The 25239-nt window shown below is 45.1% G+C and overlaps 2 protein-coding genes across 37 annotated transcripts in view, besides 11 other annotated features; one reads left to right on the top strand and one right to left on the bottom strand.

Annotated features, from left to right (window-relative positions):
* Window positions 1-15327, bottom strand: part of UBXN2A (UBX domain protein 2A) — a 77632-nt gene extending 62305 nt beyond the window's left edge. For 3 of the 8 annotated variants that reach the window (NM_181713.4, XM_017003517.3, XM_047443581.1), the window contains exon 1: window positions 1957-2142. The gene's annotated coding sequence lies outside the window, so the exon portion shown is untranslated. Of the gene's footprint in view, window positions 1-1748; window positions 1921-1956; window positions 2143-2364; window positions 2821-2928; window positions 3066-14989 lie in introns of those variants that run through there. The other 5 variants (XM_005264168.6, XM_011532633.4, XM_005264166.6 and 2 more) reach the window with 5 other exon arrangements.
* Window positions 1396-1505: an enhancer, noted in NCBI's record as "active region_15421". NCBI's record gives its function as "activates an Ori minimal core promoter by ATAC-STARR-seq in GM12878 lymphoblastoid cells {active_cell/tissue: GM12878}" and the evidence as "EXISTENCE:reporter gene assay evidence [ECO:0000049][PMID:35858748]".
* Window positions 1636-2115: a silencer, noted in NCBI's record as "silent region_11224". NCBI's record gives its function as "represses an Ori minimal core promoter by ATAC-STARR-seq in GM12878 lymphoblastoid cells {active_cell/tissue: GM12878}" and the evidence as "EXISTENCE:reporter gene assay evidence [ECO:0000049][PMID:35858748]".
* Window positions 2137-2332: a silencer, noted in NCBI's record as "fragment chr2:24163143-24163338 (GRCh37/hg19 assembly coordinates)". NCBI's record gives its function as "represses an EF-1alpha promoter that drives an FKBP-Casp9 reporter gene in an ReSE screen in K562 erythroleukemia cells {active_cell/tissue: K562}" and the evidence as "EXISTENCE:reporter gene assay evidence [ECO:0000049][PMID:32094911]".
* Window positions 2176-2275: a silencer, noted in NCBI's record as "silent region_11223". NCBI's record gives its function as "represses an Ori minimal core promoter by ATAC-STARR-seq in GM12878 lymphoblastoid cells {active_cell/tissue: GM12878}" and the evidence as "EXISTENCE:reporter gene assay evidence [ECO:0000049][PMID:35858748]".
* Window positions 14632-15548: an enhancer, noted in NCBI's record as "OCT4-NANOG-H3K27ac-H3K4me1 hESC enhancer chr2:24149927-24150843 (GRCh37/hg19 assembly coordinates)". NCBI's record gives its function as "activates a minimal SCP1, AML or CMV promoter by ChIP-STARR-seq in naive and primed H9 embryonic stem cells {active_cell/tissue: H9 hESC(naive and primed)}" and the evidence as "EXISTENCE:reporter gene assay evidence [ECO:0000049][PMID:30033119]".
* Window positions 14956-15045: an enhancer, noted in NCBI's record as "active region_15420". NCBI's record gives its function as "activates an Ori minimal core promoter by ATAC-STARR-seq in GM12878 lymphoblastoid cells {active_cell/tissue: GM12878}" and the evidence as "EXISTENCE:reporter gene assay evidence [ECO:0000049][PMID:35858748]".
* Window positions 15216-15545: a silencer, noted in NCBI's record as "silent region_11222". NCBI's record gives its function as "represses an Ori minimal core promoter by ATAC-STARR-seq in GM12878 lymphoblastoid cells {active_cell/tissue: GM12878}" and the evidence as "EXISTENCE:reporter gene assay evidence [ECO:0000049][PMID:35858748]".
* The window catches only part of ATAD2B (ATPase family AAA domain containing 2B), a 249155-nt gene continuing 239397 nt past the window's right edge, over window positions 15482-25239 (top strand). For all 29 annotated transcript variants that reach the window (XR_001738780.3, NR_125717.2, XR_001738782.3 and 26 more), the window contains exon 1: window positions 15482-16050. Coding sequence is in view for 26 of the 29 variants with exons in the window: in XM_047444799.1 (XP_047300755.1) it covers window positions 15835-16050 (216 nt within the window). In the remaining 3 variants the exon portion in view is untranslated. The remainder of the gene's footprint in view (window positions 16051-25239) is intronic.
* Window positions 15549-16467: an enhancer, noted in NCBI's record as "OCT4-NANOG-H3K27ac-H3K4me1 hESC enhancer chr2:24149008-24149926 (GRCh37/hg19 assembly coordinates)". NCBI's record gives its function as "activates a minimal SCP1, AML or CMV promoter by ChIP-STARR-seq in naive and primed H9 embryonic stem cells {active_cell/tissue: H9 hESC(naive and primed)}" and the evidence as "EXISTENCE:reporter gene assay evidence [ECO:0000049][PMID:30033119]".
* Window positions 15746-15825: a silencer, noted in NCBI's record as "silent region_11221". NCBI's record gives its function as "represses an Ori minimal core promoter by ATAC-STARR-seq in GM12878 lymphoblastoid cells {active_cell/tissue: GM12878}" and the evidence as "EXISTENCE:reporter gene assay evidence [ECO:0000049][PMID:35858748]".
* Window positions 16306-16355: an enhancer, noted in NCBI's record as "active region_15419". NCBI's record gives its function as "activates an Ori minimal core promoter by ATAC-STARR-seq in GM12878 lymphoblastoid cells {active_cell/tissue: GM12878}" and the evidence as "EXISTENCE:reporter gene assay evidence [ECO:0000049][PMID:35858748]".
* Window positions 16566-16815: an enhancer, noted in NCBI's record as "active region_15418". NCBI's record gives its function as "activates an Ori minimal core promoter by ATAC-STARR-seq in GM12878 lymphoblastoid cells {active_cell/tissue: GM12878}" and the evidence as "EXISTENCE:reporter gene assay evidence [ECO:0000049][PMID:35858748]".

Here is a 25239-nt window from a genome sequence, read left to right as displayed (position 1 = left end):
TCTACTAAAAATACAAAAATTAGCCGGGCATGGTGGCGCGCATTATAGTCCCAGCTACTCGGGAGGCTGAGGCAGGAGAATCGCTTGAATCCGGAAGAGATTGCAGTGAGCCAAGATCGTGCCGCTGCACTCCAGCCTGGGTGACAGAGCGAGACTCTGTAACAAAAAAAAAAAAAAAAAAAAAAGCCCTGCATCATCTCTTTGGCCCTAACCTACTTTATCACAGCACCCTTTTGCTTTCCACACAACAACTGCTGAAGTTCCTGAAATGACCATCTTCCCTAGCCTCCGCGCCATCTATTTCCTTTGCCTGAGCCTTTCTTCTCTCCTTTGGGAGTCATCTTCCCCTAATTCCTATTTATCCCTAATATCTAAGCTCAAAGATTACTTTCCTAGGAAAACTTTCCCAGCTTGGATAAGTCCCCCTGTTACCTTCTCTCACAAACAACTTACATTCTTTATTTTAGCCTCTGTCTTTGCTTATTGGCATTTATTTGTGTGATTATTTATTTTATTTTACTTTTTGAGATGGAGTCCCGCTCTGTCACCCAGGCTGGAGTGCAGTGGCACCATCTTGGCTCACTGCAACCTCTACCTCTCGCCGGCTCAAGCTATTCTCCTGCCTCAGTTTTTCTGAGTAGCTGGGATTACAGACGCCCCCCATCACGCCCAGCTAATTTCTGTATTTTTAGTAGAGAGAGACGGGGTTTCACCATGTTAGCCAGGCTGGTCTAGAACTGCTGACCTCAGGTGATCTGCCCACCTCAGCCTTTCAAAGTGCTGGGATTACAGGCGTGAGCCATCGCTCCGGGCCCTGATTATTTGCTTAATATCTGTTTTGCCCAATGACACTGTAGAGTCTAAAGGCAGAGTCTGTAATTGTCACTATTGTATCCTTAGCATTCAGTACACAGTAGGTACTAAAATTTTTTTGAATGAAAAAAATTAAATCAAGTGTATGCTAATTATTATACATTATTAAATTAAAATGCAAGTAAAGTACCCTCCACAGTGCCCAGCTGAAAACAACTGCTCAGTAAGTGTGAGCTTCCATTAACACTGGACTGCAGTCAGCCTCATATCATTAGTGTGCTTAACCACTCCCTCCTGCACACATTTTTTACACATTTTTGGACTCCGCCAGTGCCTAGCACTAACATTAGTGTTATAAAAAGATACTCTGTATTCACTGAATTTAATTGCCTTTTAAATAAATCCGACTTTCAGCATATTTAGAAAGAAGACACAACATGAACTTTTAAAGTTTCCCCCCTAAAAACAAACTGCAACCGGCCAGACTTCATACTACCACATTATTTTCTGCATTCGCATCAAAACAAATCAGCAGTTTCCTATCTTTACTTATCTCAAATTACGTACATAGGAACTCAACGCTGGATGCCACACGAACATTCATCATTGCTGACAAGTAATAAACTCTTTTATTACTGGCAGCGAAAAGGAAAAAAAAAAGGCACAAAGAAGAAATTAAGGAAACGTGAAATCAGCGAACACCAGGCCTTCAAAACATCAGAGAAAGTGAGTGGTGGGAGTCGGGTGAAGTCACTAATAGGCATACTTTGTATCACTGGACTGCGATCGTGCAGCGTTCGCCTTTGAAAATAGAAACATTGTGTTGCGCATAACTGTAAGTTTCGGAACGCCCTGCGAGAGAACCAGGAGCTGTGCCTTCAGCTAGCTCGCAAGTCAAGCCGCAGGCGAGTCAGGGGCTCGGGGTCGCCGCTCACCTGGGCTGGGCGGGACCCTGGCTCGGGCTCCGCCGCCGGCGCCCCTTCCCGAGTCGCAAACACGCGGCCCTCCGGAGCGAGACTCCCCCCGACACCGACGATCCGCGGCGGCCAAGCCACAGGCCGCGACCCCTCGGCCCCAGCCGGCAGGCGACCGCCCCGCCCCGCCCTCACCCCGCCGGACGCGGCGCGGCCCCGGGACGCTCACCTCCGGGCACGGCCTCCCGGCCTCGGCCTCACTCAGCTCAGGCACCGCAGGCACCGTTTGGCCGCGGGCTCCGTTTGGCTGGAGCCCTTCAGAGCCGGAGCGCCGCCGCCCCAGACCGCCTCAGGTTCCGCGGCCGCGCCGCTGAGATCCCGCCAGCCTCTCTCGGTCTTCGCCAGGCGCCCAAGCGCGCGCCGACGCCGGCTCCGCGCAGACCCGAGGAGCGCGCGCGGACGCGGGGGCGCGCCGAGGGCGGGGCTTGCCGCGGCCGGGCGCTTCAAGTCCCGGCGGGAACGGCGCTAATGGCCGCCTCCCCTTCCCACCACTGGCCCGGCGGCTAGCTGCCTTCATGGGTAGGGGAGATGCAGGCAGCTCGGTGTGTGCTCACCAGAGAACCCAGAGTGTGCTTACCTGGGTACCTCCTCAGCCTCAGAAACCATGGAGAGACATCCCTGCATTCTGACAATGTTGAACTTGACCTGAGCCCTGTGGACAACGAAGTTGAAGAAACCCCCACCCACCTTTTTTTTTTTTTTTTTTTGAGACTAAATCTCGCTCTTGTCCCCCAGGTTGGAATACAATGGCGCGATCTTGGCTCACCGCAACCTCCGCCTCCCGGATTCGAGCGATTCTCCTGCCTCAGCCTCCGGAGTAGCTGGGATTACAGGCGCCTGCCAGCACGCCCGGCTAATTTTTGTATTTTTAGTAGAGACGGGGTTTCACCATGTTGGCCAGGCTGGTCTTGAACTCCTGACCTCAGGTGATCCGCCCGCCTTGGTCTCCCAATGTGCTGGGATTACAGGCGTGAGCCACCGCGCCCGGCCCCTTTGTGTTCCTAAAAGGACTTACTACACGCAACCGCCCTTCCGCATGTGACTTTGTCAGGACTCAAGGATGCCCCCGTCGTTAGCTGTGACAAGGTCAGGCCCAGACCCTCTAAATTCCAGTTCTTCGCCTCGCAAATAGTTAGCTGACCTGCCTGTACTCACGATGTGGACAAATCCCGGCTGCCTTGACTTGACAGGACTTGAGTGAAGCAGCTCTCCCTGGGCCTCTCTACACGGTGACCGAGCCTCAGCCGCAGCCAGCGAGCAGCCCTCCTCATCCACCGCCTGAAAATAGACGGACCCCAGGGAAACAGTCTCTGTATAGTCTCATCGCTGCCACCTCCAGTCTTCTCCCCACTTCCCCACACCCGGGTCTTTCTAGCCCTGTTCACTCATCTCTGTAAAAGGAAAGCCCTTTTCTGCCTGACCCAGGAGATCGCTGCAGATCTCATGGTTGGAGAGTTCTCCCGGTTGCTGTAGCCTCCCCCAATCCCCACTCTCAGTTGCAATAGTTTCTTTCCCTTTTCTTGGATCTCTTCCACTGAACTCTCTCCTTACGTATATCCAGATTTGTTTTTTATTTTATAGTCCAGCATTCTCCCAATTGCAACAGTCCTTCTTCCTATTGCAATAGTTCTCCACCCTTATTGCAATAGTCCTTTTCCCCCCTGTTGCAATAATCCTTTCCGAATAAAGTCTCGGTTTGCCTAAATCGGGATTTATTTGTAAGTCTTTAGTGCGGGGACTCAGATTGAGATTGATCCTCACCTACAGGCCCATGCCGTTCCCCCCACCACCACCTCCCTCATCTCCTGTTCAGTGATTTTGGGAGCCTGTGGTGAGTTCAAATCTCACTGCTCATGAGACCGTGTCTGTTGAAGCACAATAAGGAGTTAAATTGATCCCATTAGGCAAAGAGACTTTTCTTTGACCATTCTGTGAGAGCTCTTCCGATTTTTTGGTCCCAGCACCATTTAATGAAGAGAGGATTCTTCCCTTGTCAAAAATCAATTGACCATGGATGTATAAATTTATTTCTGTACTCTCAATTCTATTCCATTGATTATGTATCTTATCTTTATGCTAGTACCATACTATTTTGATTACTGTAGCTGTATAGTAGCTGTATACAGCTGTATAGTAGCTGTATAGAAATCAGGAAGTTTGAGTCCTCCAACTTTGCTCCTCTTTTTCAAGATTGTTTTGTCGCTTGCAGTTCTGTATGAATTTTAGCTCAGCTTTTCCATTGCTGTTAAAAAAAAAAAAAAAGGGAGGGGGGGGCCACTGGGATTTTGACAGGGATTGCTTTGAATTGGTAGATCAATTTGAGGAGTATTGATACCTTCAATTTTTTTTTTGAGATGGAGTTTTGCTCTTGTTGCCCAGGCTGGAGTGCAATGGCATGATCTCGGCTCACTATAACCTCCGCCTCCCAGGTTCTAGTGATTCTCCTGCCTCAGCCTCCCAAGTAGCTGGGATTATAGGCATGCACCACCATGCCCAGCTAATTTTTGTATTTTTAGTAGAGACAGGGTTTCACCATGTTGGTCAGGCTGGTCTTGAACTCCCGACCTTAGATGATCCACCCGCCTCGGCCTCCCAAAGTGCCGGTATTACAGGTGTGAGCCAACACACCCAGCCGGAGTATTGATATCTTAACAATACTGGTGCGATGACTCACTTTATATATAAAGTCTTCAAATCCTTAAGCATGAATATTTTTGCATTTATAGTCGTGCGCCACATAACAACCTTTCGGTCCATGACTTACAGCATATGTGATGGTGGTCACATAAGATTATAAGGCCATATTTTTACTGTATCTTTTCTATGTTTAGATACACAAATACCATCATGTTACAATTGTCTACAGTATTCAATACAGTAACATGCTGTCCAGGTTTGTAGCCCGGGAGCAAGGCTATGCCATATTGCCTAGATGTGTAGTACACTATACCATCCAGGTTTGTGTAAGTATACTCTGTGATGTTCACACAACGACGAATTCACTTACACGACACATTTCTCAGAAGGTGCCCCCATGGTTAAGCACTACATGACCATACTTAGACCTTCTTTCATTTCTTTCAGCAGTGTTTTATAGTTTTCCACGTACAAGTCTCGTACCTCTTTGGTTAAATATATTTCAAAGTATTTTATTCTTTTTGATGCTATTGTAAAAGGAGTTGATTTATTTCCTTTTTAGATTTTTTATTGCCAGTATTTGGAAATACCACTGATTTTGTGTGTTGATCTTGTATCTAACAACTTTGCTGAATTCACTTATTAGCTCTAATCATTTGCTAGAGATGGGGTCTCCGTACATTGCCCAGGTTGATATCGAACTCCTGGGATCAAGTAATCCTTCCACCACAGTGTCCTGAGTAGCTAGGACCACAGACGTGTGCCACCATGCCCGACCAATTAAAAAAAAATTTTTTTTGTAGAGATGGAGTTTCACTGTGTTGCCCAGGCTGGTCTCGAACCCCTGGCCTCAAACTATCCTCCTGCTTGGGCCTCCCAAAGCACTGGGATTACAGGTATGAGATACCACACTTGGCCATAGTTTTATTTATTTCTTTCTAATGTGGATGCCTTTTATTTCTTTTTATTGTCTAACTGCTCTAGCTAGAACTTCCAGTACAATGTTGAATAGAAATGAAGAGGCTGGGTGTGGTGGCTTACACCTGTAATCTCAGCACTTTCGGAGGCTGAGGCAGGAGAATTGCTTGAGCCCAGGAATTTGAGACCAACCTGGGGCAACATAGCGAGACTCTATTACTAGACTTAAGAAAAACAGAAAAGAAATGATGAGGCCGGGCACGGTGGCTCATGCCTTTAATCCCAGCCCTTTGGGAGGCTTAGGCAGGTGAATCACTTGAGGCCAGGAGTTCGAGACGAGCCTGGGCAACATGGTGAAACCCCGTCTGTACTAAAAATACAAAAATTAGCCAGGCGTGGTGGCAGGCACCTGTAATCCCAGCTACTCGGGAGGCTGAGGCAGGAGAATTGCTTGAACCCAGGAGGCAGAAGTTGCAGTGAGCCGAGATCACGCCACTGCACTCCAGCCTGGGTGACAGAGCAAGACTCTGTCTCAAAAAATGATGAGAGTGGGCTTCTTTGTCTTGTTCCTAATTTTAGACAAAAAGCTTTCAGTCTCTCTCACCATTGAGTATGATGTTAGGTGTATGTTTTTCTTTTTCTTTGAGACAGAGTCTCTCTCCATCCCCACAGCCCATAGTAATCTCTATTCTACTTTCTTTCTCTCTTTTTTTTTTTGAGGTAGGATTTTCACCAGGTTGCCCAGGCTAGTCTCAAACTCCTGGACTCAAAACAATCCTCCCACCTTGGCCTCCCAAAGTGCTATGATTACAGGTCTGAGCCACCACGCACAGCCTATTCTACTTTCTGTCTCTATGAATTTGCCCATTCTAGATACCTCATATACGTGGACTCCTACAATATTTGTTCTTTTTTGTCCGGCTTATTTCACTTAGCATAATTATTTTCAAGTTCATTCATGTTATAGCATGTGTCAGTATATCATTCCCGTTTATGGTTGAATAAGATTCCATTGTATGTATATATTACATTTTGCTTATCCATTCATATGTTGACGGCCATTTGGGTTGCTTCCACCTTTCTGCTATCTTGAATAATGCTGGTATGGACTTTGGTATACAAGTATTTGATTGACTCCTTACTTTCAATTTTTTAAAATTTTTGTTTTATTGTGGCAAGAATATTTATTTATTAATTTAATTTATTTATTTTTGAGACAGCCTCCCTCTGTCACCCAGGCTGGAGTGCATTGGTGCAATCTTGACTCACTGCAACCTCCCCCTCCCAGGTTCAAGGGATTCTCTCACCTCAGCTTTTCTGACTGGCTGGGATTAAAGGTGCCCCCCAACCATGCCCAGCTAATTTTTGTATTTTTAGTAGAGATGGGGTTTCGCCATGTTGACCAGGCTGGTCTTGAACTCCTGACCTCTGGTGATCCACCCACCTCGGCTTCCCAAAGTGCTGGGATTACAGGTGTGGGCCACCGTGCCTGGCGTTTTCAATTTTTTTGAGTATATACCTAGAAGTGGAATAGGGTATTTCTGTGTTTAACTTTTCAAGGACCAGTCATATTGTTTTCCAAATAGCAGCACCATCTTACATTCCTACCAGCGATGTACTAGTGTTCTAATTTCTCTACATCTTCCCAACACTTGTTATTTTCTCTGTGTGTGTATGTGTATGTGTGTTTATAACTATCCCGCCCTAATGAGTATGAAGTGTATCTCACTATGGTTTTGATTTGCATTTCTCTGATGACTAGTGATGCTGAATATCTTTTCATGCGCCTATTGGCTATTCGTATATTTTTTTTGGAGAAACGCCTATTTAACTCCTTGCGAATTTTCAAATAGGTTTTTTTTGTTGTTGTTGTTGTTGAGTTACAGGAGTTTTTGCGTTTTAAAAAATACATATTATGGATAGTAATCCCTTATCAGATATGTGATTTGCAAATCTTTCCTCTGATTCTGTGAATTGTCTTTTCACTTTGGGGTTAGTATCCTTTGATACAGAAGTTTAAAATTTCAGTCAAATTAATTTATTCTTGTTTTGCCTGTACTTTTGGTGTCATATCCAAGAAACTATTGCCAAATACAATGTCATGAAGATTTCTCTGTTTTTTTCTAAGCATTTTATAGCTTTAGCTCTGACATTTAGGTGTTTGCTCCATTTTTTTGCTTGTTTTTTTGAGACAGGGTCTTGCTTTGTTGCTTGGGCTGGAGTGCAGTGGTGCGATCTCGGCTCACTGCAACCTCTGCCTCCCAGGTTCAAGTGATTCTCCTGCCTCAGCCTCCTGAGTAGCTGGGATTACAGGTATGCACCGCCACACCCAGCTAATTTTTTGTACTTTTAGTAGAGACGGGGTTTTACCACGTTGGCCAGGCTGGTCTTGAACTCTTGACCTCAGGTGATCTGCCCACCTTGGGCTCCCAAAGTGCTGGGATTACAGGCATGAGCTACCACACCCAGCCTTGTTTTTCTATACTATATTTATCTCCACTCTATTCTTTATTTCCTTCTGGTAGCTTGGGTTTAGTTTGCTCTTTTTCTAATTTCTTTCTGTGTTGACTTTTTAGTTATAAGTGTACAGACTGAGTAATTTGTTTATTAGATACTCTCCAAAGTACTTTTCACAGTAGCTATTTCATAGGTACATAATAGAGTTCAGTGAATGCTTTTTGAATTCACATAGAAGGACGATGGGTGGCACTCAGCAATCTGCTCCTCATCCTGCATCCTCTTTACCAATTGGTAGCCCTGCCAACCATCCAGTTCAGGACAGAAACCAAGTGAGCATCTTTGAGCATTTCCTTCCCTTGAGATGAATATCTAGGTCAGCACTGTCCAGTAGAACTTTCTGTGATGATGGAACTGTTTCTGCATTGTCCAACACATTGGCTACTAGCAACATTTGCTTATTGAATATTTGAAATGTGGTAGTGTGACTGAGGAAATGAATTTTTAATTTTTGAAATTTAAATAACTACATGTGGCTAGTAATCACATTGGACAGTGCACAATTCTAATGTCAACAATTTTTTTTTTTTATTTTAACACAGAGTCTTGTTCTGTTGCCCAGGCTGGAGTGCAGTGGTGCGATCTCACTGCAACCTCCGCCTCCCGCATTCAAGCGATTATCCTGCCTCAGCCTTCTAAGTAGCTGGGATTACAGGCGTGCACCACCACACCCAGCTAATTTTTGTATTTTTAGTAGAGACAGGGTTTCACCATGTTGGCCAGGCTGGTCTCAATCTCCTGACTTCAGGTGATCTGCTCCTCTCGGCCTCCCAAAGTGCTGGGATTACAGGCATGAGCCACCACTCCCGGCCTAATGTCAATAGTTCTGATTTTGCCTCTTGATTTCGTGTTTCTCAAATGTTTCATGGCTCTTAAAGATGCAGTCCCATGGATTGCATCCTACACCCACCAAATCAGGACCATCTCTTCATTGATGGCCTCCCTATAGACTTGCAGTGTTTCACTTTAGCTCCATTGGAGGTACAGTTTTGTTTTTTGTTTCTGTTTTTGTTTTTTTTCTTTTGAGACAGGGTCTTGCCCTGCTGCCCAGGCTGGAGTGCAGTGGAGTGACCAAGGCTCACTACAGCCTCAAACTCCTGGGCCCAAGTGATCCTCCTGCCTCAGCCCCCTGAGTAGCTGGGACTACAGGTACTTACATCATGACCAACTAATTTATGGCTCTTGCTTAGGTGTCATGTTTAAGAATACTTTATTCTTTTATTATCTATTTATTTATTTGAGATAGAGTTTTGCTCTTGTTGCCCAGGCTGGAATGCAATGGTGCGATCTCAGCTCACTGCAACCTCTGCCTCCCGGGTTCAAGCGATTCTCCTGCCTCAGACTCCCGAGTAGCTGGGATTACAGGCATGCACCACCAGGCCCAGCTAATTTTGTATTTTTAGTAGAGATGGGGTTTCTCCATGTTGGTCAGGCTGGTCTCGAACTCCTGACCTCAGGTGATCCGCCTGCCTTGGCCTCCCAAAGTGCTGGGATTACAGGCATAAGCCCCCACGCTTGGCCTATTCTTTTTATTTTTATTAGATCTATTTCATGATTTTAAAATTTGTTTTGTCATTTTTTGCTCATTAGTTCTTTTTAATCTCTCCTTTATTTTTTAATTTAATTTAATTTTATTTTTTTGAGATGGAGTCTCGCTCTGTTGCCCAGGCTGAAGGGCAGTGGTGCGATCTTGGCTCACTGCAACCTCCACTTCCTGGGTTCAAGCAATTCTCCTGCGTCAGCCTCCTGAGTAGCTGGGACTACAGGCGTGTGCCACCATGCCCAGCTAATTATTTTATATTTTTAGTAGAGACGGGGTTTCACTGTGTTAGCCAGGATAGTCTCTATTTCCTGATCTTGTGATCCACCTGCCTCGGCCTCCCCAAGTCTGGGATTACAGGCGTGAGCCACCGCGCCTGGTTGTCATGATGATTCTTTTGTGATTTTCTGTTTTTACTGTGAATCATATTCATGGGACTTTATTTTTGTGCTTTCTGTTGAAGGTATATTCTGTCAGAGATGATTTATGTTTGCTTCAGCTTTATGCTTAGGATCACTTTTGACTCAAGTCTATTTAACTTAAATTATTGTCCTGAGGGTCTTCATACCTAGCCTTGGTGAATTCAGGCTGTAAACCTGTTGATCAGTGTGTTGTTATGAATTCTCAAGGGACCCTCCCAACCCTGCACCCCCACCCACCGCTCCCCACTCTTAGTGTCAGTGTTGGGAAAGGTGGGCAGTTCTCCTTGCAGTCTCCTGGAGATGAGTGAAGGTTGGTGCATTTATTTCTAATTCACTCATACTTAGCTTTATCCTTATTGTAGCAGGATTTTGCGGGATGTTTGCATTAGATTCCATATATTTAGCAGATTTTAGGCCTTACTACTGTCTTTTGCATTTCTTTTTTTTTTTTTCCCCCAAGACGGAGGGGGAAAAATCCTGCTCTGTCACCCAGGATAGAGTGCAGTGGCATGATCTCAGCTCACCGCAACCTCTGCCTCCAGGGTTCAAGCAATTCTCCTGCCTCGGCCTCTCGACTAGCTGGGATTACAGGTGCCCACTACCATGCCTGGCTAATTTTTGTATTTTTAGTAGAGATGGGGTTTCACCATGTTGGCCAGGCTGGTCTCGAACTCCTGACCTCATGATCCGCCTGCCTCAGCCTCCCAAAGTTCTGGGATTACAGGCGAGAACCACTGCACCTGGCCTGCTTTTTCTTTTTCTTTTTTTTTTTTGAGACGGAGTCTCGCTCTGTCACCCAGGCTGGAGTGCAATGGCGTGATCTCGGCTCACTGCAATCTCTGCCTCCTGGGTTCAAGTGATTCTCCTGCCTCAGTCTCCTGAGTAGCTGGGATTACAGTCGCCTGCCATCACGCCTGGCTAATTTTTGTATCTGTAGTAGAGACGGGGTTTCACTATGTTGCTCAGGCTGGTCCTGAATTCCTAAACTCATGATCCACCCACCTTGGCCTCCCAAAGTTCTGGGATTACAGGTGTGAGCCACTGTGCCCGGCCTTGCATTTCTTCACGCAGAGAAAAGGTCAAATTCACTGGGGTTGAGCAAATGCATTGGAAATGAAAGCTGTCTTTGGAGCCCTTGCTTACTTGTTCTGGGTTCCTGCTATGACTTAGCTTTTGATCTGAGCATTCCTTAGTATCTTGCCACCTCTTGCATGTACTGCAGGTTTTTTTTTTAAGTTCAAAAAATATTTAACCAACGTTTTAGTTATTTCCTCTAGTATGTACTGTAGAAAACAGGCAACTCTTCCATATCTCTTTTCTTTTCTTATTTTTGTTTCTGAGACAGGGTCTCACTCTGTTGCCCAGGTTGGAGTGCAGTGGTGAGGTCTTGGCTTACTGCAGCCTCCGCCTTTCAGGTTCAAGTGATTCTCATGCCTTAGCCTCCGAATATCTGCGATTACATTATAAGTACCCACCACCAGGCTCATTTTTGTATTTTCAGTAGAGATGGGGTTTCGTCATGTTGGCCAGGCTGATCTTGAACTCCTGGCCTCAAGTGATCTGCCTGCCTTGGCCCCCAAAGTGCTGGGGTTACAGGCAAGAGCCACTGAGCCCAGCCCCCCTTTTTTTTTTGAGATGGAATCTTGCTCTGTCGCCCAGGCTGGAGTGCAGTGCAGAGTGATCTTGGCTCACTGCAACCTGAGGCAAAGAATTGCTGAGTAGCTGAGTAGCTGAGATTACAGGTGCCCGCCACCATACCCAGCTAATTTTTTTGTATTTTTAGGAGAGACAGGGTTTCACCATCTTGGCCAGGTTGGTCTTGAACTCCTGATCTCATGATCCACCCACCTTGACCTCCCAAAGCACTGGAATTACAGGCGTGAGCCACTGTGCCTGGCCTCCTTTTTTTTTAAATTTTATTTTAATTTATAGAGATGGGGTCTCACTACATTGCCCAGCCTGGTCTTGAAATCCTGAGCTCAAGCGATTCTCCTACCTTGGCCTCTCTAAATTCTGGGATTATAGGCATGAGCCACTGCAACCAGCCCTTTTTCTTTCTCTTTTTTAAAATTTTATTTTAATTTATAGAGATGGGGTGTCACTATGTGACCAGCGCAGGCTGGTCTTGAATGCCTGAACTCAAGCCATCTTCCCACCTCAGCCTCCCAAAGTGCTAGGATTATAGGCGTGAGCCACCTTGCTTGGCCTTATCTTTTTCAAGTCTTCCTTTCTTTTGTCTACAATTTTGTGGTTCAACACGTATCTCAGGGGTCACTACCTCTCAGAGGTTTTCCCTAAAATCCCTGCTGGAATTAATGGTCTCTGCCTCATTCTTTCTTTTCACATTGTATTGCAGTTTACTGGTTTCTTCCCTATCTTATTCATTCCCTCTATGTCTGTGTGTTCTTTGAGGATTTTTAAACGTTCTTGATTTTTAAAAATCTGTGTATTTCCTGGCCTAGCAGAGTACCTAATACCAGTTGGATTTATTTATTTACTTATATATTTTCTAGAGACAGGGACTCACTATGTTGCCCAGGCTGGTTTCGAACTCCTGGGCTCAAGCTCAGTTGGATTTAAAATTAACATTTGTTACCTCCAGGCGCAGTGGCTCACACCTGTAATCCCAGCACTTTGGGAGGCTGAGGCAGGCAGATCACGAGGTCAGGAGATCAAGACCATCCTGGCTAATACGGTGAAACCTCGTCTCTACTAAAACTACAAAAAATTAGCCGGGCGTGGTGGCACACGCCTGTAGCCCTAGCTACTTGGGAGGCTGAGGCAGGAGAGTCGCTTGAACCTGGGAGGCGGAGGTTGCAGTGAGCCCAGATAGTACCACTGTACTCCAGCCTGAGTGACAGAGCAAGACTCCATCTCAAATAAATAAATAAAGTTAACATTTGTTGATAGTAAATGGTATAGGTTATGGTAACTTGGCCTTCCCAATTTAGGACTACAAAAACAAATAAACACACACAAAAAAGGAGGAAAGCACACAAATCCTTTGTATATAATTTGCATACCACACACCTCTGCAGGACACTAGCCTTTTTATTTATTTATTTTTTTTTGAGATGGAGTTTTGCACTGTTGCCCAGACTGGAGTGCAGTGGTGCAATCTCAGCTCACTGCAACCTCCGCCTCCCGGGTTCAAGCGATTATCCTGCCTCAGCCTCCCAAATAGCTGGGATTATAGGTGTCTGCCACCATGCCTGGCTAATTTTTTGTATTTTTAGTAGAAATGGGGTTTCACCATGTTGGTCAGGCTGGTCTCGAACTCCTGACCTCAAGTGATCCGCCCGCCTCTGCCTCCCAAAGTGCTGAGATTACAGGCATTAGCCACTGCACCCTACCCTTTTTTTTTTTTTTTAAATATTTTTTTGAGACAGGGTGTTACTCTGTCACCCAGGCTAAAGTACAATGGCATGAACTTGGCTCACTGCAGCCTGGACATCCTGGGCTCAAGTGACTGATGGCGCCTCAGTCTCAGGAGTGGCTGGGACCACAGGCACCACACCCAGTAGTTTCAGCTACCAGGGAGGCTGGGGCAGGGGGATTGCTTGAGCCTGGGAGGTCAAGGCTACAGTGAACTGTGGTTGTGCCACTGCACTCCAGCCTGGGTGACAGAGTGAGACCCTGTCTCTCTCTCTTTCTTTTTGGCAGGGAGAGGATCTCACTATGTTGCCCAGGCTGGTTTCCAACTCCTGGTCTCAAGCCATCCTCCCGCCTCGGCCTCCAAGTGCTGAGAATACAGGTGTGAGCTACAGTGCCTGGCCCAAACCAGCCTCTTTCCACAGGAATTGATACTTGTTTATGCTGCTCAGTGATGTGATAGCTACTTGACCCAGGAAAATCCAGGTATGGTTCCATTATGAGGAATCCCACCCATTAAGACATCAACTCTAAGTGGCAGGTGAAGTGTCCAGGAGAGGATGTGGTATGCAAATTGTGTCAGAAGGATTTATCTATTCTGGAATCCATACTGGTTCCCAAACAAAAAAAATTGTCATTTCCAGTGTTGTACAGTTTTTTGGAATGATTGGGAGCTTAGATGGCCAGAATGCTCTAAGTTTGATGCCATTTGGTCATTTTCAGGACTTTTCCTGAGTTTTCAATTTTTCTTAGTTTAATAAACAGTTTAATAAACTCCTGCCCAATAAACAGTAGGCTATGTCTAATGTACTGTGAATTTTATTTTTTTTTTTTTGAGATGGAGTCTCATTCTGTCACCCAGGCTGGAGTGCAGTGGCACGATCTTGGCTTACTGCAATCTCTGCCTCCCGGGTTCAAGCGATTCTCCTGCCTCAGCCTCTCAAGTAGCTGGGATTACAGGCATGCACCACGACACCTGGCTAATTTTTTGTATTTTTAGTAGAGAGGGGGTTTCACCATGTTGGCCAGGTTGGTCTCGAACTCCTGACCTCAAGTGATCCGCCCGCCTTGGCCTCCCAAAGTGCTGGGATTACAGGCGTAAGCCCGGCCTGTACTGTGAATTTTTGAAATGAACCTAATTCCTACTTTACAGCAGAGCTTTTCTTTCTTTCTTTTTCTTTCTTTCTTTCCTTTCTTTCTTCCTTTCTCTCTCTCTTTCTTCTTTTTTTTTTTTCTGAGACAGGGTCTGGCTCTGTCATCCAGGCTGGAGTGCAGTGGCGTGATTTCGGCTCACTGCAACCTCCATCTTCTGGGTTCAAGTGGTTCTCATGCCTCAGCTTCCCGAGCAGCTGGGATTACAGGTGCCCACCACAACACCCATCGATTTTTTGTATTTTTAGTGGAGACAGGGTTTCACCATGTTGGTAAGGCTGATCTAGAACTCTTGACCTCAGGTGATCCACCCACCCCGGCCTCCCAAAGTACTGGGATTACAGGCTTGAGCCACCGCACCCGGCCTACAGCAGAGCTTTTCATATGAATTGTGTGGCTTAATTTTTTTTTCTTTGGAAGTTAAATTGCAAATGCTTTATCTGTGGGTTCAGCTTTTTGTATTCTTAATTCTTCAGCGGGCCGGGGGCAGGGGGCGGCGATAGAGGCGGCTCTTACAGGGTACTCATTCTTTGGCTCCGCCTTAGATCTGGCTAAGGGGATAGAAAACGACCCTGCCTCGCTTTGTTTAAAAACGCAGAGTTCTAGCATGGTGTTTCCCCCCCCCCTTCTCTTCTTAAGCTTACCAAGTTCCAGATACCGCCCAGATGAATTTTTTTTTTATCACAGCTGTCATTCTCATTTCTACAGGCATGAAAAGTGCGACTCAAGTTCAGTGTCTTGCCTCGGGTAGCTTGGGGATTCCCAGTCAGCTCCTCGCGCCTTCGTCGCCGCTCCCCTTCCACCCCGCGCCTTCGCCGGCCGTCCCCTGCTCCATCCAGGCCACGGGGGTGACGGTGGGGTCTGGGGCATTCAGGCCTGGCTGGGCATGAGGGCTTCAGGCCCAATTCCACGCCCGAACTCGTCCTGATTAGTCTGGCTTTTCTGGTCGCCCCAGCCCTGCGGTCGGGGAGAGCTGGAAACCACCGAGCTGACAGCCTAGAGCGTCGCTCCCCGGCCGCCGAGCGCTGACGCCGCGCCGGGGGCGGGGCAGCTGGAGGCGGCAGGGAGAGGAGCGAGCAGCCGGGAAGGGCTGGCCGGCTTCGCAGCGCCCCGCCGTGGCTGCGGCCGGAAGCGGTCTCGTTGGCCCTGCGGCGCTGGAGCCTTGACGCACGGAGCTCGAGAGCGAGAACGGGAGAGAAAGGGGTAGAAATGGCGGCTCCGCTCGGCTCCCGCTGAGGAGGGCGAAGCCGGCGGAGTGTCTGTGCTGCCGGTCTGCAGCACCGCCCCCGCTTCCCGCACGCCGCCTGCTCACGCCGACTTCCCTTCCTCTGCCCGGCTCTCTCTTGTGCTCGTCTGCGCTCCGCACGCTCCGGGCCGGCTCGTCTCTCATTGCCCGGCTCGGCTCCGCTGGCCCTGACTGACCGGCCGGCGGGCCGGCCTTGCTCGGCTCTCCCGGGCGCGGCGTGGACTCCGTCCCCCTGGCTGGACCATGGTGAACACCCGGAAGAGCTCTCTCCGCCTTCTCGGGTCCAAGTCTCCTGGTCCCGGGCCTGGGCCTGGGGCCGGAGCAGAGCCTGGGGCGACCGGAGGCAGCAGCCATTTCATCTCCTCTCGGACCCGCTCCTCCAAGACCCGCGCCGCCAGCTGCCCCGCCGCCAAAGCCGGGGGAAGCGGTGGCGCCGGCGTCACTCTGGATGAGGCCAGGGTAAGAGCGCGGCGTCCCGAGTCCGGAGGCTCGGAAGTGCCGGCCCTGCTGCCGGGGCTTTGTCTGGCCGGGTTGGGGGTAGGAAGCCTACAGTGGAGACCGCTCGGGCGGCTGGAGACAGGGTCTGCGGGCGCGGTGGAGGGTGGCACCCAGAGAAGGGCCGCGACGCTGGCCCCTTTGCTTTTCAAGCTGGCCCGGCTCTTTTGTGTGAAGAACAGCCCTTGAGTCCAGGGGAGAGGGCTTTGGGGGTCCCTTTCGGCGTCATTCGAACGATCTGCTGTCCGTGTCCTTGTCCTGCCCCAGAGGGGAATTCTAGCGGGGAAGCAAGAGCGAAGGGCCAGAGCCCCTGGGTGGAAGGGTTGGAGAAGTGAAAGTTTTCTGCGGTGTCAAACCCTTCTTGAAAGTGTGTCAGTTCCTGCCGCTGTCTAACTCCAGCTTACTCTCAGTTTGGGGGTGGTTCAAGTTGGTGAGGAAGTGAACAGAGAGCTCCAGTTGGCAGCCAGGCAGGGATGCTGAAAAAAGTTTGTAGCTGCTCTGACACCAACTTTAAAAACAAAATCAACGCTATCGCCTCTCCAGGCAGGAGAGATCAAACATGATATTATAGCTGGGGAACCAGCCAGCTAGCTCACCAAGGTGCTAGTAGGAACCAGAGCTTTCAGGTCACAGAAGGAGCACGTCGAAAGAAACAAGTGGAATGTTTCGGATAGTCAGCACCATCATGCCAAAACTGTGTGGTTTCTTGGGTGTCTACATTTTTGTTATGGGACTATATTACAAAAGGTGAATGAACACCATAGTCATGCAGTTGCAAAAATGACATTTAAAGACGCTGGTGATTGAATTAAAAAACTGATTGAAAGATCTTGAAATTTTATTACCTACATTATAAAGCTAAGCACAGATATTTATTGTTTTAAAGGAATTGACACGTTTGTTTTACTATGAGATTGTTTCTGAATTCAGAGAAGAGTGTATTGCTTCTGTCTAAAAGAGGTTGACTTGCTAAGTAATTTGGCTGGAAAAAGCTGTTCATTTAAAATGCTCCTTTAATTCCACACCATTTTGTGGTTCTTATTGGGGGAAAGCAATATTTTATGTTCTAGGGGTCTACAAGATCGCGGTTTGTGTGTGCTTTTCTTTGTGTCTTACACTGTTTTGACACTAACAGAATGGATCTAGGCAGAGACAGGAATATTTTACCATACTACTCTGAAATATTTTTATTATATCTTTGAAAATCGTTTTGGCTTTTCTTTGATAAAATTTTGGGCATTATAACGTCCTATTTAATAGACTATTTTGGGGGCTTACAGCTCTCTTAGGTTGAAATAAGGTTAAATCTGAAAGTTGTGCAAACTGTTGAGAATAAGTACTTTGAAGACGAGGCTTTCGGTGGAAACTATTCCAAACATGTTCAAGCTTCTTGACCTACTGAGGCTATCACATATTTTAAAATAAAACTCAATTTAAGAAAAGATCTTTTCTGTACATTTAAGGACAAAGAAAATATTTAGGGTGTAAGCATTTAATCGTATCATGCTATGTGAATGCCTAGTCTGTTAGAGCAGTGTCTAACTCATCTGAAGCAATTAGCTCATCTTCACTCATCAGTTTGTGGTCCCATTTTTGAATTCATGGATATCATGCTGTCCTCACCCCCCGAGGAATAAGGTGAGGTAATTTGTCAAGCAGCTGTTATAGAGATGTTAAAAGGCTAGGAATCAATAATCTAATGAGGAAATGAACATTTGGTAGCTTTTAAATTGCTAAAAGAATGAAAGATATGAGAGCTCTTTGTAGAAGGGTACTAATGAAACTTTGTTTCAAAGATCCTTTTAAAATGTTTTAAAGCACCATAAATAACAGGGTACTAAAGATTTACTTTGAAATATTTGTTTTTCAGTCTTAAGAAGATTTATGTTCGGCTCTAGGAGATGATGTAGTCATCTAATTGCTTTCTCTGAAAGGTTTTTTTAGAGACGTAACTACTCTTACATAGTGATTGGACCTTTAGAAGAGGATAAATTATAATTCTGAATTTATTAAGTTTATGGACTATATATTTATGAAGCAGGTTGTATATTTCTGGTTAGCTCTTCTCCAGTTTTGTAGGAATTTAGCACTCCTGGTTCACCCTTTCTGGAGTACTTAAAGACACCCTCTATGTCTGTGGGGTCTGTAATAAGCATTTGCCAGTGTCTGTAAAGTCTCATTTGGTGCAAAATGGGGTTGCCCGTGTTGTTGCTTTCGCAGACCCTTATTTTTGTAGAAAGAAATGTATTCCTGTTTGTAACATAATATTCCTGTTTGTAATTGAGGAGTTTCTCCTTTTTCTGCTTTTGTGCCATGTTTGTTTGTTTGTTTTTTTTTGAGACGGAGTCTCGCTGTAGCCCAGGCTGGAGTGCAGTGGCGCGATCTCGGCTCACTGCAGGCTCCGCCCCCCGGGGTTCACGCCATTCTCCTGCCTCAGCCTCCCGAGTAGCTGGGACTACAGGCGCCCGCCACCACGCCCGGCTAATTTTTTTGTATTTTTATTAGAGACGGGGTTTCACGGTGTTAGCCAGGATGGTGTCGATCTCCTGACCTCGTCATCAGCCCGCCTCGGCCTCCCAAAGTGCTGGGATTACAGGCGTGAGCCACCGCGCCCAGCCTGTGCCATGTTCTTAACTAACTACACTTGATGCCTATTTTTCCCCCTTTTCCCTGTTTTTAGATTATTTCATTCACTGTGTCCAGAGACATTTTATTTGCTTTAAAAAGTCATAGCGCTATGAGCTTTTCTTAAAGTTTTGTCTTTTTCCCAAGTAGTATATGCATAGGATGGGGGAAAATATGCATTCTGCCGATTATTGGAATTATTTTCTTTTTCTTTTTTTCGGTATGAAAAGCCTTTTTTTTTTTTGACATGTAAAAGGTGGTACTTAGTGTATATAACTCTGTGAGTTTGGAGATAAGTATATATTTGTGAAAACACCACCGCATCAACACCATAGACATGTCCGTCATTCCTAAAGTTTCCCTGTCCCTTTTATTATGAATGTATTATTAGTATTATTTTTGTGGTAAGAACACTTGATATAAAATCTACCCTCTTAGAAAATTTTAAGTATGCAATACAGTATTCTTAGATGTAGGCACTATGCTATATAGATCTCCAGAACTTATCTGGCATAAGTGAAACTTGATTGTCCCCCCACAAGACCCTGGCAATCACCCTTCTACTCTCTGCTTCTGTGAATTTGCTAGTTTAGATTCCACTAAACTAGCAGATAAGTGAGATCATTCAGTATTTGTCTTTCTGGGACTGACATATTATTTAGTGTAACATCCTCTAGGTGCATCTGTGTTGTTGTAAATGGCAGGATTTCCTTCTTAGGCTTAATAGTATTCCACTGGGCATGCACACATGTACACCACGTTTTCTACATTCATCTCTTTTTGGACATTTAGATTGTTTCCATGTCTTAGCTATTAATAATGCTACTGCGAACATGGAAGTGCAGATGTCCGTCGAAATCCTAATTTCAATTCCTTTGGATAAATACCCAGAAGTTGGGATTGCTGGATCATATGGTAGTTCTATTTTTAATTTTTTGAGGAACGTTCATACTGTTTTCCATAGTGGCTGCACCATTTTGCATTTCTACTGACATGTACCAGGATTCCCTTTTTTCTACATCTCCCCAATATTTGTTGTCTCTTGTCTTTTTGACAAGAGCCATTTTGACAGGTGTGAGGTGATATCTCATTGTGGTTTTGATTTGCATTTCCCTGATGATTAGTAATGTTGAGCACCTTTTTATATACCTGACAGGTGTCTGTTTAGTTAGGACCCTTTTTTTTTTTTTTTGAGACAGAGTCTTACTCTGATGCCCAGGCTGGAGTGGTTCACTGCAGCCTTAAAATCCTGCTTTGCCCATTAAAAAATGTTTTCTTCCTTTGGAGTTGTAGGAGTACCCTATGTATTTTGGAAATTAACTGCTTATCAGATATATGGTTTGCAGATTTTTCTCTTAATCTGTAGATTGCCTTTGTGCCCTCACTTTTAAATTTTCTTATTTTTTTTTCCTCTCTTATCATTACCCACAATGCCCACACTTTTAAAATATCAGGTTGTTTTTTAGTGCTATGCAGTTAGATGTGATTACTCCTGTATACTGTGGCTTTTGTTTTGCTCCAAGCTTTCATAAAGCTTGACCCCTTTTAGATCAGTTAATCTGGCCCTCAGTCATTAGCGTTTATTTGCTCCACCTAGGTGTCACTCCTAGTAAACAATCTAATACTGTATTCACAAAACTGTACAGCAATCTTTGAAAATTATTTCAACTCTTTTTTTCTACTTCTCCTAATTGTTAGGTCTGTTTGCTGGTATTTCTGGCTTTTTCACTAGCTTTTTAGGCTTTTTGAGATAGTCATTGACTCTGAGTCCCCATCTTGTGAGATCAAAATAAATATTTTGAGTAACTTTAGAAGTAAAATGCTGTATTACTTTATTTTTATTTTAATTAAAAAAATCCCTAGGTCCTTCTTTAGTATACTTTTATCACCTTGTGCTTTTCCTTTTCTAACACTCATGCGTTTGCCAACATAACAAAGCAGAGTGGTCGAAATTGAGGGTTAAAGAGGTAAAAGAAGTCTGAGAGGGAAATCTCATAATGTGTGTAACTCTCAGATGAGCAGGGGAAAATATAAGTTCATCAGAACAGAGCAAGTTTTTCCTTATACTGTATCAGATTTACATGGAGTACAATATAGGTACTCCTATAGTACAATATAGGTACAATATATTGTAACGTGACAATGTTCCCTGCCACAATTTCGAACCAAAGCAGTAGTGGAGTTCATAGGATTGTCTCTGGTAGCCAAGTGAAAATGCAGCTTAAATTCAGTTACAGGCTATTTCTGTAGTCCAGATATACACGCATTCTGTTGTTTAGGTCATGGATGAAACTTATAAAGCCTGTGGAAGTGAATACATACTAATTCCTTAAATCATTTTCCCTGTCAAGGAGTCTTTTAAACCATCCTTTGGTAGATGTTTTATTGTATGTCTCCTAAATACCTAATTATAGGTAAACTCATAACTTCTGGAATCCAGCTGGACAAGTGGTAGAATTACTACTGTTATGAGAACTGAGAAGCCCAACCAGTGTTTGCACCTGAATGTTGAGTGATCCTGTCTGTTCAAGGATCTAAGTGCCATATTACTTTGAATTATGTGTTTGGCATTTCTTTCAGGACATACACAATGAAGTTTCATTTGTGTGCATTATCCGTTTCATTTGTGTGCATAATCAACTTGAGTGGATTTCTTTGGGTTGTTTTTTTTTTTTTTTTTTTTTTTTTGAGATGGAGTCTTACTCTGTAGCTCAGGCTGGAGTATAGTGGTACAATCTTAGCTTACTGCAACCTCCGCTTCCCAGGTTCAAGCAATTCTGCTGCCTCAGCCTCCCAAGTAGCTGGCATTACAGGCGCCTGCCACCACACCTGGCTAATTTTTGTATTTTTTAGTAGAGACAGGGCTTCATCATGTTGGTCAGGCTGGTCTCGAACTCCTGACCTCAGGCGACCCGCCCGCCTCGGTCTCCCAAAGTGCTGAGGTTACAGGCATGAGCCACCACATCCGGCCCAAGTGGATTTCTTTATACTTAGGTTTTTGGTCTTTCAATAAGAATGTTTTACACTTCTTTTGTGCCTCCTCTCTGGAGGGGGAGTCTATGAACAATGAGTTACTGAGTAAAAAAAATTGGGAATTTTTGGATAAAAAGTTACATGGAAGTACAAAGTTGGGGGGGAATCATGTATGTGTTAACTTCATTTAAATATAAGTTAGATTTTTTTTTTGAGCAGTAAGTTTTGTAGTTTTATCTGGAGGTAGGATATATACCTTTGGCTAAAGTCTTTCTCCTCTAACTATTAGAGTAGGCCGTAAGTGCCATGAAGGCAGGCACTATATTTTACTTTCCCCCTAAATGCCATATTCCCAGGGCCTGAATACAGCACCTGACACAGTGCTGAAAATGCTCAATAAATATCTGTTAAATGAATGAATGAATAGCATTTCAAGGAGCTGACCCATTTTGAGACTATCATGGTTATAGGACTTTGAGAATAGAGGATAAATAAAACACAGTTTTTACCCTCAGTACTGCAAATGTGCACATGGTATGCATATGAGAAGTTATTAACAAGGTAAATTGGTTCAAAGTAGGTGCTAAATGAATGGCATGGATACTTAGTGTGGTAAGACTTCTGGTCCTCTACTCGTCGAATGTTTTGGTGGAACTCTTTTTTTTGTGTGTTGTTTAAAGACAGAGACTATTATGTTGAAACCTGTATCCTGAGTGCCTAGAACAGCATGTGTCAGTCAGTGCCCAATTAATACCTTTTTTTTTTTTTTTGAGGCAGAGTCTCTCTCTGTTGCCCAGGCTGGAGTACAGTGGCTCCATGTCGCCTCACTGCAACCTCCGCTTCGCGGGTTCCAGAGATTCTCCTGCCTCAGCCTCCTGAGTAGCCAGGATTACAGACGTGAGCCACCACGTCTGGCTAATTTTTGTATTTTTAGTAGAGACGAGGTTTTGCCATGTTAGCCAGGCTGGTCTTGAAATCCTGACCTCAGGTGATCTGCCTGCCTCGGCCTCCGAAAGTTCTGGGATTACAGGTGTGAGCCACTGTGCCTGGCCTAATTACTTTTTTTTTTTTTTTTGAAACAGAGTTTCCCTCTTGTTGCCCAGGCTGGAGTACAATGGTGCGACCTCAGCTCACTGTAATCTGTGTGCTTCCTGGGTTCAAGTGATTCTCCTGCCTCAGACTCCTGAGCAGCTGGGATTACAGACATGCGCCACCTCACCTGGCTAATTTTTGTATTTTTAGAAGAGATGGGGTTTCACTGTGTTGAACAGGCTGGTCTGGAACTCCTGACCTTAGGTGATTTGCCCGCCTCGGCCTCTCAAAGTGCTGGGATTACAGGTGTGAGCCACTGCACCCGGCCCCTAATACTTTTTTTTGAGAAGCTCTCACTTTGTCTCCCAGGCTGGAGTGCAGTGGCATGATCTTGGCTTGCTGCAATCTTTGCCTCTTGGGCTCAAGTGATCCTCCCACCTTAACCTCCCGAATAGCTGGGACTACAGGCACAAGCCACCACAGTCAGCTAATTTTTGTATTTTTTGTAGAGATGGGGTTTCGCCACATTGCCCAGGCTGGTCTTGAACTCCTGGGCTTAAGCAGTCCACCCACCCCGGCCTCCCAAAGTGCTGGGATTACAGCCACTGCGCCTGGCCAGTTAATACTTTTTGAGTGAATTAATGGAAAGTATGACTCACTTTAAATTATTTTCACATTGACAATCTCTCTCTCTCTCTCTTTTTTTTTAATAGAGATGGGGTCTTTTTATGTTGGCCAGGCTAGTCTCGAACTACTGGCCTCAAGCAATCCTCCCACCTTGGCCTTCCAAAGTGTTAGGGTTACAGGTGTGCACCACCATGCCTAGCCGACAATCTTTCTTTTTTGCTATACTCACTTGTTGCATTTTGCCCTAATAAGGAGAAGAGTAAACCAAGGTTTATTTAGCATCTCATACGTGCCAGGTGTTGTTTAATGCTGTCTCATTCAATCCTTGTAACAACTCTGCAAGGCAAGTGATGATACTCGCATTTTATAGCTGAGGAAACTGAGTTGCCTTAGAGGTTAAGTGGCCTGTGGAAGGCTAAAGGTAATATTTAAATCTAGTTTTGTCTTCTCTACTTGTATATCTTGTTTCATCTGTAGTTCTTTACCTCACTTATCATTACTCTTTGATGTTGTTCAATCAGTAGTTTCCACCAAAATCTGAAAAAGTGAAGGTGGCAGCTGTTGTATACTGTAAGTATACCTACTGTTTATAGACAACTTTTACCTGCCTATCTGGAATTGTGGTGTCTAGGAGTATATTGGGACTGAAAGTATGAATAGTAACATATAGGGATATGAAATATAGGACAATAATTTTCAGTAATTTTCTGCAGCCTGATTTCAGGAGGCAGTGTGTAGGGAGAGGAGCAGGCATATTGTACAGAGATTGTTTTTGCAGTATTTTTCCTTAATATTATATATGTGTATATTTATATTTTTGTTTCATTTTTTATTTTTAAATTTTTTTTGTGGGTACATAGTAGGCATATATGTAGTATATATGTATTTTTTGAGACAGGATCTTGCTGTGTTGCTCAGGCTGGAGTGCAGTAGTGCAATCACAGCTCGTTGCAGCCTTGACCTCCTGAGTTCAGTGGATTCTCCCATCACAGCCTCTGAGTAACTGGGACTACAGACATGTGTTACCACACCTGGCTATTTTTTTTTTTTTTTTTTTTTGTAGAGACAAGGTTTTGCTATGTTGCCCAAGCTGGTCTCAAACTCCTGGGCTCAAGAAATCTTCCTGCCTTGGCTTCCTAAAGTGTGGGATTACAGGAGTGAGCTACTGCTCCTGGCTTATATTTTTCTCTTTCTTTTCTTTTTTTCTTTTTTTTGAGATGGAGTTTCGCTCTTGTTGCCCAGGCTGGAGTTCAATGACTCACCATAACCTCTGCCTCTGGCGTTCAAGCGATTCTCCTGCCTCAGCCTCCCGAGTAGCTGCGATTACAGGCTTGCGTCACCATGCCTGGCTAATTTTGTATTTTTAGTAGAGACAGGGTTTCTCCATGTTGGTCAGGCTGGTCTTGAACTCCTGACCTCAGGTGATCCCCCCGGCTTGGCCTCCCAAAGTGCTGGGATTATAGGCGTGAGCCACCGCGCCTGGCTATATTTTTATTTTTCCAGACAGGAGTCTCACTATGTTGCCCAGGCTGGTTTTGAACTACTGGCTTCAAGCAGTCCTCCTGACTCAGCCTGCCGAGTAGCTGGGATTACAGGTATGAGCCACTGCACCTGGCTCTTCTCAGTATTTTTAAGTTGGCTTTGGGAAAAAAAAAAAAATCCCGGTAAGCAGACTGAGAGTCTGGGCCTTGTGGTCTCTATTAGAGGTATACTTGTGCTACTATCTTTCCCTCTACTTGGTGATATTAATTTACAGTGTATACATTTGCGTTTATTGCTGTGGGAAACTATCTCTAGGGGGAGTAAAGTTTTCCATTTGAAAAAATGTTTCATACTTTAAACCTCTTGAAAAGACATTATATAGCATATTTATATGTGAAGATTTGCATTAGTAAA

The sequence above is a fragment of the Homo sapiens genome, chromosome 2 (assembly GCF_000001405.40).
Source record: "Homo sapiens chromosome 2, GRCh38.p14 Primary Assembly".
NCBI lineage: Eukaryota > Metazoa > Chordata > Mammalia > Primates > Hominidae > Homo > Homo sapiens.
This window is presented reverse-complemented; position numbering and strand designations above follow the sequence as displayed.